General features: G+C 49.2%; 1 protein-coding gene across 1 annotated transcript in view, besides 2 other annotated features; it reads left to right on the top strand.

The window, feature by feature from the left end:
• Positions 2,551 to 13,776, top strand: part of TGFBI (transforming growth factor beta induced) — a 34,831-nt gene continuing 23,605 nt past the window's right edge. The window contains exons 1-2 of the mRNA NM_000358.3: positions 2,551 to 2,752; positions 7,326 to 7,424. Coding sequence (NP_000349.1) covers positions 2,619 to 2,752; positions 7,326 to 7,424 — 233 coding nt within the window. The 5' untranslated portion in view covers positions 2,551 to 2,618. The remainder of the gene's footprint in view (positions 2,753 to 7,325; positions 7,425 to 13,776) is intronic.
• Positions 4,768 to 4,837: an enhancer, noted in NCBI's record as "active region_23176". NCBI's record gives its function as "activates an Ori minimal core promoter by ATAC-STARR-seq in GM12878 lymphoblastoid cells {active_cell/tissue: GM12878}" and the evidence as "EXISTENCE:reporter gene assay evidence [ECO:0000049][PMID:35858748]".
• Positions 10,988 to 11,037: an enhancer, noted in NCBI's record as "active region_23177". NCBI's record gives its function as "activates an Ori minimal core promoter by ATAC-STARR-seq in GM12878 lymphoblastoid cells {active_cell/tissue: GM12878}" and the evidence as "EXISTENCE:reporter gene assay evidence [ECO:0000049][PMID:35858748]".

The raw sequence follows: 13,776 nt of genomic DNA on the forward strand, positions 1-13,776 counted from the left end.
ATTGTATCATGTAATCTAGTTTAGAGTCCTGTGAGGTAGGTTTTATTATCCTCTCTATGAGGTTGAATAACTTGCCCAAGACCACACAGCTAGGAAGTAGAAAGACTGGTATTTGAACCCATCTTCTCCTTTTCTTCTCCTTCCTCCTCCTCCTCTCTTCCAACACCTGCTCCCAAGGAAGCTCATCCAGTGCATGACTTTAGCTACCACCTGCTCGTAGTGGTGACTCAAATCTGCATCTCCAATCCTCATACCTATCCTGAGCTCAAGACCTTTGAATATAGCTCCCTCCTGTCCATCCCTCCTGGAAATGCAGGTGGCTTGTTCACACATAATGTGAACACAAATGGAGCACTCTCCTCACACACCCAAATGTGCACCTTCACCAGCGTGCCCAGCACAGGCATCCCTTCCTGCCAGCTATGAGCCTCGAGGTTAGCTCTACTCCCCCTCCCTAACCCTGCATGCCCAAGGGGTTTCCAAGTCTAATCAATGCTACCACTAAAATCTCCCATACACCTGTTCCCTCCTCTCCACTAGCTTGATCACTCCCCATGCAGGCCCTCAGTTGCTTTATGCTCTCAGTAGGCCCTCCTCCAGTGCCCACACTCTCTCCCTTCTCCTTCCCACCTTCTTTCTACCAGAGTTCTAACCTCTCCAAGCCCCGCTTGTCTTTTTCTTTCCCTGGCTGCCATCCTAACTCGCCCCTTCCCTTCTCAGACAAGCTTCTACATGCTACTCATCTCTCCATCAAACCACCATATTCGGGCTTTGGCCATCTGCTCTCCACAGCCAAGTCCCCAGTGGCCTCTCTGCTTCTGACACAGTGAAAGCCATTCAGATCTGTCTTGTTGGCAGCATTCCTCACTTTGAGCAGCGCCCTCCTACTAGGATACCCCTCCTTGACTACAACCCCACATTCTCTACTTCCTGGGCTCTTCTGTCACTGGAGGATGACTCCCAGGTGTGAATCTTCATCCCGCGTCCCTCACTCAAGCCCCCGATCCTCATATCCAGCTTTATCCTCATGGGATGCTTCACCAGGATGAGTCATAAGCACCTCAGACTCAGGGTGTCCCAAACCACTCATCTACCTGGCAAGCCTGCACTCTGCATGTGCCTCATTCTGAACATGGCACCATCACCTGCTGCAATGTCCAGACCACAAACACCCTACAATATCCTTGACTCTCCTTTCTCCCCTTCTCCCTGTATACAGACTCCAAATTCTATTGAGACTATTACCTCCTACACCCCTCACATTTGCCCAGCCTTCCCCATCTCTGCCTCTACCACCATAGTTCAAGCTCTCCCATGGTCCCTTCCTGGTTACCTGTTCTTCTTGCCTCCTTAAGCCTCTCATGACACTGGCCATGTCACTTGCCTCCACCCATCACCCGCTAGGCTCTTAGCTGGAGTCTGGGCCCTGCTACCTTCCTCCCCTTCTTCCCTACCCTTGACTCCACCTCCCTGTGCTTCAGCCAACCAGATAACTTGAGTTTCGTGAATGCATGCCTCAGTTTACCTGATTAACTCATTTTCATCTTTCAGGCCTCAGAGCAGGTATCACCCTGTCAGGGCCAGGTGCCTCTTCTTAGCTCCCAAAGCCCCAGCTACTCTTCATGGAACATCATTGGCTTGGGCTACGGATCTTCCCAAATTGGAGCTTTTTCACAAAGGGCTTAGGTCTCACTCATTCTATTAATCCATCTGTGTCTCCCCAGGGCTAGCAGTGCCAAGTAACTGACAGGTGATTAATAGATGCTTGGGTAAGTATCACCTCTTTACCATGTGACAATTTGTTTACCTGCCTTGAGCTCCTCCAGGGCAGGACTCTTGCCTTTGCAGAATCTATCTGGCAGGTACTGTTGCAGAGATGTTTACTGAAGAAGGGAATGAATTAGTACCAAGGTGAGGACCCCACCCTTCCCCACGGGCTCCAAAAGCAGCTTAGAGCCCAACAAAACCTGCCCCACATTTTTGGCGTTTCTGTGGATCACACGATTTACTCATCTGTCTTTCAATGAGCATGACAGGTGGGGTGGGGGTGGAGGGATTAGAGATTGAGGAGCTGGGGAGGGTGGTCAGCTCCTGGGGTGCAGAAACAAGTCTGATGGGCCATGGTGTTCTGGGAATCAGCACTGCCTCCCCTCACCCCTCCCTGCAGTGTTTTGTAGCCTCAAGATCAGTGAGGGAATCTTCGGGCCCCCAGCATGCAGGACCGAAGCCCCCGAGACAGCTGTCCCTCAGTCCCAAGGTCCCCATTTGGAAGCAGCCACAGGAGGCCTAAGGGACCTATACCCTTGGTTTGAGGAAGACTGTGGCGAGGGAGAGAGGGAGGGAGGGCTGGCAGTGAGGGCAAGGGCTGGGAAAACTGAGCACGGGCACAGTGCGGGAGCGGGTGGGTGCCCAGGGCAGCCAGGGGCGCACGGGTTGGGAGGCGCCAGGCGGCCCGCCCTCCTTGCACGGGCCGGCCCAGCTTCCCCGCCCCTGGCGTCCGCTCCCTCCCGCTCGCAGCTTACTTAACCTGGCCCGGGCGGCGGAGGCGCTCTCACTTCCCTGGAGCCGCCCGCTTGCCCGTCGGTCGCTAGCTCGCTCGGTGCGCGTCGTCCCGCTCCATGGCGCTCTTCGTGCGGCTGCTGGCTCTCGCCCTGGCTCTGGCCCTGGGCCCCGCCGCGACCCTGGCGGGTCCCGCCAAGTCGCCCTACCAGCTGGTGCTGCAGCACAGCAGGCTCCGGGGCCGCCAGCACGGGTAAGCCGAGCCGCCTGGCCAGGGGCTGCGGAAGGTCAGGTAGTCGGGGCTCGGAGCGCAAGCCGCTGGGGGCATTGAACTGGGCTGGGGGCGCAGGGGACAAAGCCCGAACTAAAAACCTTGCAGCATGGAGCGCTCGGACACCAGCCCTGCACGCGGTGGAAGGAGAGAGGGAGGGAGGTGGAGGACCATGGAGGGAAAGCGGGAGGCCGCCGCTTTGTAGAAGGGAGTGGGGAAGTGGACCAGAGACTTTCGACGCAGGCCAAGAGCCTGAGACGGACAGCGCTTTCAGCTTCTCCTCCCAGCCACTGCAGAAAGGGGGAAATGGCAACTCTTTGGCCATAATCACCGTGGGAGGGTGCCAAGGGCAAAGCCCACCCAGCAGTACACCTATTCCAACCCAGCCAGGCCCCCGGCCAGCGACTCCAGACAAGAACCTGGGCCACACACGGTGGCAGCATCTAAGGTGCCCCAGGCTCCTGTGCTCCTGGCCAGGCCCTGCACTCAGACACTGCTGGCACCCGACACTGCTCTCTGGGTACAGCAAGGGCAATGTGGCACTTCTTGTCCTGCCCGATGAAGAGCAGGAGAATGCACTGGGCCCTCACACACACTGTTCAAATGGGGAAACTGAGTCCTGAGTGGTTCCACTTTCCCACAGTCCTGAAGTGTGCACTGGAGCCAGGATTGGAGTCTGTCTTAAAGTAATAGCTGGGTTTGTAAATGTAGGACACTATCATTGCAGGAATTCCTTTGAGACCCTGAAGATGTGTTGGCTTTAGGAGACAAACTCAAGCAGAAGGTCTGGTCTGATAGTGGCCCTAATACTGACCCAGGCAGAGGCAGGCAACATTTCTACCTCAAAAACCAGGCCATACCTGCGTCACAAATACCCAGGCTTTGCTGCAGCTTCCAGCCTACCTGGTTGCACCAACTTCTTTTTCATAACTAGGTAAAACTATATATGAGTAGAATCTTGTAGTGACTCCTCAGAGGAAGCCTAAATACCATCGGGGTCTGGCGTTCACACCCACAAGCAATGCCCAAACCTCCAAGAGACTGGGCAGATCTGTGCTCAAATCAAAACTCATTGTTGGGGGTGATAGAGTTGACTTCACAGGCCCTGAAAGTCTTGGCTCCTTGCACTAGGAGTGCTCTGGGTACGGGTACAGGCTGCCCCTTGTAGGGCATAGTTGCTCTTGTTTCCTCTACTTGTGGCTTTATGGTCTAGGCCTTTCAGGAGTTTGGGGCTCTGGCGGAGAGGGCCTGCTGGGAGCACATCTGGCCACCCTGCAGAGTGAAATCAAACCAGGCCTGGCTGCAACCTCAACACCCTCCTGGAAAGAGGAGAATACTGGGGATATCCTGGGGTCTTTCTGGAAGTGGGAGAATCAGCTTTGACTTGGGCAGTGTGCAGAATAGAGTGAGGGGGGATGTCAGAAAGATGAGAGGGATATGAGGCCTCAACATCAAAATGCAAGCACCTGGCATTTTTATTATCTCTGCCCACCTCTCCGTTGGTCTCTCTGCCTTTCCTGCCAATGAATTGTGTTATGTTTGGGTGCCTCAATTTGCCTAGGAGGGTTCTATTTCTTCTGTATCTTCGCCACTAAGTCAGGAGAAGATCCTTATAGCATGCCCTGCAACAGTGTCACCTGTAAGGGCATCTCTCTGCACAGCCACAGTGAAGGATCCTCAAAGGTATTGAGGGCTTTCCATCAAGAGCCATCTTTACAGCAAACCTCTTTCCCTTCAGAGCCCAGAAGAGTGCTGACCAGCTGGAAAACAGGGTTTTTTTCTTAAATGCAGATGCTCTTGATTATGAGTTCCAGATATTAGATCAACTTCCCCACCATACCCCTGCAGGCAAAGCCTCTTAATTAGCTTCCTGCAGCACAGCTGGAAAGGCCTATTGTAATCTGTGATGGGCAGAGTAATCTAAGAAGTCACAGGAGCACCCCTGTCCCAGTAGAATCTGGATGCGCAGGCACATGAACCATGGCAAAATGGTTGCAGGCACAGTTGTATTTACTCTGATCTAACTGTCCCTGTTAATGCCACAGGGCTGCCTGGCCTGGCACACAGGGCTGTGGCGCCTTGTGCAAATGGATAACGTTGTTCTAGCTCCAGCCTTTCATTCAAAGTGAAAACTGTTAGAAAGGGAAGGAAAACTTTGCTATTTTAAGGAATTGTAGCGTGCTGCCTGATATGAAGGAAGAAATAACAGCTGTGCCTTGCTTGTGCGCAGCACTCGATTGCCGCTTTTGCTTTCGACCTCACCACAACACAGTGAGATCTACTGTTCATGTTCCCATTTTACAGGAGGTGAAACTGCAGCTTAGTGAGGTAGAGAGTGACTTAGTTCAGACACAGAATGCTGTTGGGAGAGTAATAACTATGATATGGTCTCTTGACTCCCAGCTATATCTGTGTTGCTATAGGGAAGGGGAAAAATAATACTGAAAGAGAAGTAAAAATACAATCACACTTCCAAACATCAACCACCAAAAACTGAACTGAATTTCCTGAAGCACTTGGTTTTCAAATCTAAGCTGAACATCAATGCTGTTATTCTTGAGGCCCAGAAGCAACTTGCTCATTTCAATTAAGCTTCAGCATGAACTTCCTATGTACACAGCCCACCCACACTCCCCGATGTGAGAAGGAGAGGGTCACAGCCGCCCCCAGCCTCTGCTGCTGCCACAAGGACAGCAGCAGTGGAAACATTCAGCAAAGGAATGTTGGAGCCACATCCACAAGAGACTCACTGAAGATTCGCCAAACGCCTACGGAAAGTGGCAGGGAATTCATTGACAGTAATTGTTTCCTGCTTGATCAGATTGAAGAGCTTCTGGGATTCTGTAACAATAAATAGGACCGGGGGCTGGAGTATGGCCAGCAAGGACTCTTCAGGGGTTATTCAGGGACTGTCTAACCTGTGAATCCTAGGCAGCAAACAGAAACCAGGTATTCAGAAATCTGGAGGATTTGGTCAGGCCCAGCTAGGACTAGGGAGGCATGGGCCTCTGCTGGCTGTGGTCCCTTCTCCAGCCTTCACTTCTCTTGTCCCTAGATCCTTACATGGATTCATTAATGCTCATTGTCCCTCCTGGGCCCACTCACTTTCACCTGTTGAACAAAAAACTGGCCAAGAGGTGACAGTCATATCACCGCAGAAGAGACAGGGCAGAGAAATGAAGGGGCAGAATGGACTCCCACCCAAAAGCCTGACTCTGAATATTTGAGAATTGTTCAAGTTCCTGCAGAGGAATCATGATGGGGACAGTAGGTGTAGTTTTTACTGCAATATTGGTGTCTTCTTAACAAATACGCTGCACATCAAGTGATGTCTGTGGATGGCATTCTTAAAGTAACAGGGAAATTGATGTTAAAGAAATACTTCATCCTTTGGGTGATACCTGAAGTTCTCTGAGCTTGGAGGTCTTGTGAAAGCCCTCAGTATTGTTTGTTTTATTTGCTTTCCTCTGACTTGTGATTCAGTCAGATGCATGCCTGCCTCTGGCTCAGGAAGATCAACCCTCTCCTGACTGACCACGCCTCTCCTGACTGACCACGTAGCACAGCAGCTTCCTTTCCCTAGGGGCTCCTAATGAAGCTTTCACAATCACCTGGCCTGAGCACAGTTTGGGTCAGGACTTGGTATACTTGAAAAAAACATGCAAAACCAAAATCCTGTGGTTCTGGAAAAGGCTTCTTAGCAGAACCCCCAGACATTTACACTCTGCTTTTTCACAGGGTCCCTGAGGATTCTTTGGATCTGGGTAGTTTGGGGAGCAGTATTTTCAACAAGTTCATTTCGTGCTCCTTCTACACCCTGCCTGGATGCTAGGCCCCATCTAGAATGTGAACAACAGAACAAGGCAGAACACTTGTCCTCAAGGTTCTGTTGAGTGTTAGATGCAGAGAAGAGACACCCCCCACCTCCCCGCATCACTTACAGGAATTCTGTTTGGAACCCAACATCAAATAAGGACCGTATCCACTGTCAGAGGATGGGAAGCAGCATGTCATCTGGGACATTGGAGAAAGGCTCCTGGGGGAAGTGGGACTTGAGCTGTGATCTAAGTAATGAACAACTGAGAGTTAAATGGGAGAGCATCCCCTATCAGGGTCCTGAGAGCAACCAGCCATGGTTTAAACCAGCTATAAAGCCTCGGGTTTATAGGATAGACAGTAACAATGGCTTGTCTTTGGGAGCCAAGCAGCTGGTCCAGGCATGCAGAGCATGTCTGTATGGAGAGCTGCCTGAGAGATGCTTTTGTTTACACTTATCAATTGCCCATGTCAAAGAAGGATATGTACATGAAGTTACATCAGTATGTAAGAGAGATTTTAACAATTTTTGCAGGGGAAGCTTTCATGGGGGCTGATGGGAATCTAGGTAAACAGAACCAAAGTCTAAACCCAAGATATCCCCAGTACCAAGACTGAAATGACTCTCTCCTCTATCTCTAGAAAGTTCCAGTGACCCAAGGAGGCAAACACGATGGGAGTCATTAAAGTGGGGTGGACGTGCTGATCATCTTCCTAATTCTGCTGCTTTTGTTTTCAGCCCCAACGTGTGTGCTGTGCAGAAGGTTATTGGCACTAATAGGAAGTACTTCACCAACTGCAAGCAGTGGTACCAAAGGAAAATCTGTGGCAAATCAACGTGAGTATCTGTAACCAGCCAGGAGACCAAGCTGTATGCACGCTGGCTGCAGTTCCCCAGGGCCTGGGCCAGCCTTCTAGAAGGTCAGGTTGCCTAAAAAGCCATGAAGATGCATGTGCGAACATGTCTGGGACCTGCGTGCTAGGGAGTGGCATTTTTAGGAAGCTGGCCAATTTTGTTTTGCATTTTTAAGGCTGCTGACAAGACTTGGAGACATTTTTCAGGGCTGGTTTGGGTTTGCAAGAAACATGAAACACTGCGTGTGTGTGTGTGTGTGTGTGTTTCTCAATCCTCATAAAATAATACAGATATGCAGTGGAGAAGCCACCAGCATGTGACTCTGGAAAAGAAAGCCCATTGGTGAATCTGTACTAAAGAATGCCATCCCTATCTTACAGTCCTAAGGTAAACACCCCAAAAAGACTTAGAGCACTAAACATATGCAGATTATGAGACAGCATAGCATATAATATTTGCACAGACTTCCTCATTCAAACCCTAGCTCTACCTGGGCCAGTCGATTCATCTTTAGAACCCTCCATTGCTTTACCTGAAAAGTTCGTATAACAAAAGGACCCACCTTATGGGGTTGTTACAAGGATTGAATGAAATAATGTACATAAGAGACTGAATATGGTGCCCAGCATATATCAGTGCTCAATAAATGCTAGCTACTATTATTATTATCACCCTAGATTTGCAAATCTAGACCACACAAGCAGAAGTAAGAGTGCCAACGGGGTGTGGACCAGTGTGGTTACAATAGGGCTTGTTGATGTCTGTTTCAGCAAGGAGGGAGGCAGCTTTTACCCCACTGCCCAGCTCCCTGGTGGAATCAGGTGCATGTTCTAACAATTCTGGGGAAACCTAATCTGTTTTGGCACTGTCAACAGATCTCAAAGCTGGCTGTCTCCTATAGCTAGGAAGATGTGTATGACAAATCTCCTGAGCCACTTGTGAAGGCCTGACCTTCCTCCTGTCTCCATACATAATGGGATGATTAAGAAACTCTAAGCCACTCTCTTAAGCACTTTTCAATGTTAGGGATTTTTAAGTTTATTGTTGTGACATTGCTTTTGAGCAGACATCTCCTCCAATTTAATAGCCAACTGAAAGAAGAGAAAATGCTCTTTCCTTAAACTGTATGTGGAAATAAATATTCCAATGTGTGACCCTGATTATGTTAGGCAATTAGCAATCCTAATATGAATTGAGGGAAGTTGGGATTCATGGCACAGCTGGGGAGATACCAGCAGTCCCTGGGAGCCTGTCCAGGGCAGGTCCATGGCAGCTTGCTCCATGCCTGATTGACAGCCCAGCCTGCAAGCTAAAAGTTGAGTGAGCTAGGAGGACACACTGCCAAGATTCAGCTAACAGACACCCAGCGATATTCTTGCTGCTATGAACAAAAGGAGACTATGCAAATTATACACCACCCATTCTTCCAGGATGCCTGACTTAAAAAATAAGAAAAAAGATGGGCCGGGCACAGTGGCTCACGCCTGTAATCCCAACACTTTGGGAGGCCGAGGTGGGCGGATCACAAGGTCAGGAGACAGAGACCATCCTGGCTAACATGGTGAAACCCCGTCTCTACTAAAAAAATACAAAAATATTAGCGGGCGTGGTGGCGGGCACCTGTAGTCCCAGCTACTCGGGAGGCTGAGGCAGGAGAATGGCGTGAACCTGGGAGGCGGAGCTTGCAGTGAGCCAAGATCGTGCCACTGCAGTCCAGCCTGGGTGACAGAGTGAGACACCGTCTCAAAAAAAAAAAAAAAAAAAGAAAAGAAAACCTTTAGTACTGATTGATTTTTTCCCATGTGTGTATATTATCTACTCAAATTAACAATTAATTACTTAATTAAACACAAAGCCAGGCCTCACCTAATTGCTTCTTGGAAGGTGACCAGAGTGCTAGTGCCAAGCAAACAACTCTTCTATATCTCAAGAGCCCTGGGCTTCAGAGGGCCATCTTTTTTGTTAATTCAAGTTTCTCTGAAAATGGAGACCCGTTTATGATGACAAGCTGGCTACAGGGTAGCATCTGCCACACTGTTTCGGGGGTGCCGCTGGGCTGAAGCATTTGCCCAGCTAGTTAACAATAGCTCGATAACATTCCCTATCAGTGTCCAGGCTGAGAATACTGTCAGTGATGAGTCGCCTTGGCTCTTGTACCTGTATCTTTGTGTGCCAGGACAAGGCACAAGCAACAGAGCTGTGTGTTGCCAAAATGTTCCTGATGAGCAGGTCAACCCCTCGGGGGCAGGTTTGGATATGATAATGTGGTGATGTGGTGGCGCAGCTCCCTTACCCAGTGAGCACAAGGGGAGTCCTCTAGGAAAAGGAAGAAATGTCTGGATGAGGTGGGGAGATGGGGTTCAGAGTGGACTCAGGCAAAGCCCGATGCCCAGTCCCAGCTGTTGGCCTAGTCTCACAAAGCCAGAAGGATATGACATTTACATTCAACTCTTGAATTTGTGGCCACTGCTTTGGGCAACTTCAAAGAGAGAAAATGAAGATAGAAAAATATTATTTGATATAAAACTTCTAGGACAAGAGAGGCCCTTCCTGGAACATTACATGTAGTATTAGGAAGGTGGAGCTGCCCTGGAAAAGATCCAGAGAACTCAGAGAGAGGAAGAGGTGGAACCCATCTCTGTTCTTGTAGAGAGCTCAGTAAGAGTGGCTTGGCAGGGCTCCTGTGTACCTGAGACCAAGACCAGTGAGGAGGCTACTGTCTGACCACCATACGGTCAGAATTCAGTGCCATGGGTGGTCAGGTGGGAAGGGGAGAGGACTGTGCTGGCTGGAGTTGATGTTATCCTGGGGAAAGTAGGTCCCTAGATGCCTTTAGTTGAGTGAGGAGCAGACTGGGAAATGGGAGCACAGTAGTGGTTGGGGCAAAAAGGACTGTCTCTGCATGAGGTCCATAGGCAGTTGGAATTTTCTCAGCAAGACTCCAGAGAAGGAGGCTGGAGCAGAGGTGTATGTTGGGATGAAAAGGAGTAAAGTATCATGGGGGAGGAGGCAGCTCAGGTTGTCAAGGGTCAAGAAACCAGAAGGAGAATTTCACCTTGGAAGCAGACAACGGGTACCAAGCATACAGGGGAATACTTTGTGGTGAGAGGTCACACAGAGATACAGGAGCCGACCTGGTGAGACAGGAGCCTGGAGCCACCTGCCTGCTTTTGTGAGGCCCCAGACTCCACTGCTATCATCAGGTGAAGCTCTGTTGCCTGCACACAAAAGCTTTTCTGCATTTACAAAGAGAGAAGGGCCTGAGTTTCTGGTGCAATGCGTCAAGCTGACATATGGACTTTATTACAGGAAGTGGTTACCAGTGGGTCCCTATTTAGTGGCTGTTATTGTGAATTTTATTGTTCGGAAATTCACTTTAGCATTTATTTCAGATCCTAAATAGCACCGGAGTGATACAATGGCTAATCAAACAAAGAGGGCTGTGGGGAGCAGACAGTCAGCATCCCCCTCTGTGATTTCAGGCCCTGGTTTGATTAGTAGCCATAAAATTTTTTACGTGTGGCACTTTGAGCAAAGGTGCAGGAAATTGTGGTCAGGAAGCCTGGCTGCCTCTCGACAGGCTTCCTTTGTGCTAGCCCCAGGGAGAGGAGGCCTATTTAACAGCCAAGTCCAAGTTGACATCATGGGACTGGAATAGTCATAGCAGGAGCTCAGACATCATAAACGTGGCATAGGGAGGGCTGGTGGAGGAGCTAGCGGGTATGGGTGGCAGCTATTCATTCCAAAAGTCTTGAAATTGTTTCACGAGCAACACATTTCACAAGTGCGAAGCCCTTCTCTGGAGCCAAGATGAGCTGGCAGAGCACTCCTGTTTCTCTAGTAGCAAGTGTTCCTTTGCCCAGGGGCAAAAATATTAATACTCCTTCAGCACTGCATTAATGCTTAAAGATTTAACTTTTAAAGAGATCAGCTGGTGCATGGTCGAGCTTTTCCATCAGCTGGCAGGGCTTTTTCAGTAGGTGTCCTTCTGGGCAGGGCACTGGGGACAGCTGACGTGAAGGTGAAGAAGAGCTGTCGTTTTCCTCCCTTATATCCCACAACCTTGGTCCCAAGAGGAAAAAAAAGAAGATGGTGAGAAGTCATCCAAGCAGACCCCAGACCCATACTAGTGCCTCCTTTCCTGTTTCATATCCCTGTGCAGCCAGCTGGGATCTCTTGAATAATCTGCTCTGGGGGCACTGAGATTGGACATACACCAAACAGCGGAGATCGACCAAACGCCTCTGTTGGGCAGTGTTTCCTGAGGGTTCTGTCCCATTCTGTAAACTAGGAGGCTGACTAGCTGACAAGGAATTTTATTCTGTTGGGTATTTACATGAACCTATGTGCCACCTGGGGTAAGACCCTGTGGTAGGTAGAAACATGACTTCCCAAAAATGTCCACATCCTAATCTCTAATTCTGTAAATATATTCCCTTACTGGAAAAAGAGACTTTGCAGGTGTGATTAAATTAAGGATCATAAGAGGGAGAGATTATCCAGGATTATTTGATGAGTCTAATATAATCATCAGGGTACTTAAAAGAGGGAGGCAGGCTGTGCCTGGTGGTTCACGCCTTTAATCCCAGCACTTTGGGAGACTGAGGCGAGCGGGTCACGAGGACAGGAGTTGGAGACCAGCCTGACCAACATGGTGAAACTCCCCCTCTAGTAAAAAAAAAAATACAAAAATTAGCCAGGCATGGTGGTACACACCTGTAATCCCAGCTACTCAGGAGGCTGAGGCGGGAGAATTGCTTGAACCCAGGAGGCAGAGGTTGTGGTGAGCTGAGATCGCACCACTGCCCTCCAGCCTGGGCAACAGAGCAAGACTCCATCTCAAAAAAAAAAAAAGAGGGAGGCAGTGGGATCAGAGTCAGAGAAGGCAACGTGATGATGAAAGCTGACATTTGAGTGATGCAACCACAAGCCAAGGAATGCAGGCAGCTTCTCAAAGCTGGAAAGGACGAGCAATGGATTCTTCCCTACAGCCTCTGTGAGGAATGCAGCCTTTGATTTTAACCCCATAAGGCCGATTTCTGACTCTAGCCTCTGGAATTGTAAGATAATTTGCATGATCTCAAGCCACTAAATTTGTGGTAATTTGTCACAGAAAGCAATGGGAAGCCAACACAGGCCTTATTTGTTGACTTATAGATGCATTTTTCTTTATTTCAATGTACTTTTATCAATGGTCTCATGTAGGGTATTGCTTTCAATGAAGATATTAACATAGTTTCAACTTTAAGGTTTATATCTGGAGTTTCTTTAGAAGCTTCACAACTGACCACTTAGTAAACAGTAAGCATCTGTTAAGTGCTTCTCATATGTAAGTTCATTCAATTCTCACAATCACACTATAAGATAAATATGATTATTAGCCCATTTACAGATGAGGAGACAGGCTCAAAAGACTTTTATGCAACCTGGTCAAAGTCATTCACTGGTAAGCTGAGGAGGTCTGTCCACTTCCTTTTGCTGCCCCCAGGGGGTATCAAGCCTGGCAGTTAGTGTCAGCGACTTAGGAGGTGAACAAGTGAGCAGGCCTGTAGGACCTGGCTAAACTGCCCCAGGTCTCTGTCTACAGCCTCAAACCTGTGGCTGTGGGTCCCAGAGACAAGGCCTCCTCAGCATCAGAGAAGGATGCCTTTGTCTCAGGGTCATCAACCTTCTCCAGGTTGCTCACCCCCTGCTGTAAAGGGGATCCCCAAGACCGCTCATCAGACAAGGAGCTTGGGAACTGAGGAGACACAGTCAGCCTCCAGGAGTGCCCAAAATGCCCTCACATGCTGCATACAGATTGCCACAAATAAAGTACATCCACATTCTGAAGACTCTGTCCTCATCACCAACCAGGCTGGCCCCTGGTGAGGGCTGTAGTGGTTGAGGCCTTTGTTGGTAGACAGTAGGTTAAAGCAAGCCATGATTTTCTATTGGGAGGCTTCAGAATCAGCTCAGCTGTGTTTCCAAGACCAGGAGGGCAGAAAGCAAACCATCCCAGGCAAGCAGTCCATGGGCCATGTCAGATGTCTAGACGTTATGGGTCTGTGTTTGCTCTGCCATTCCTCTCGGAAACTATGATGCCCTGTATGGTTTACCTTCAGTCACAGGTGACTGGCCTACAGGGCCATTCCTTGTTCCAACGACTTCTCGAGTATAATTAATCCCCAGGCATTTACGGCCAGAGCAGCCGGCCAAATCCGTGAAGTGCAGTGGTTGTTTTAAATTATATTAACTTCTTGGAAACTTATTTTAGGGAGAGAAAACTCAGTACTTCTCTCTATCCAATCTTGAGTAAAAATGTTAGAAGGGACTGGTGGAGAGCCTCCCAGAC

This window comes from Homo sapiens, chromosome 5, assembly GCF_000001405.40.
Source record: "Homo sapiens chromosome 5, GRCh38.p14 Primary Assembly".
In the NCBI taxonomy this organism is placed as follows: Eukaryota; Metazoa; Chordata; class Mammalia; order Primates; family Hominidae; genus Homo; species Homo sapiens.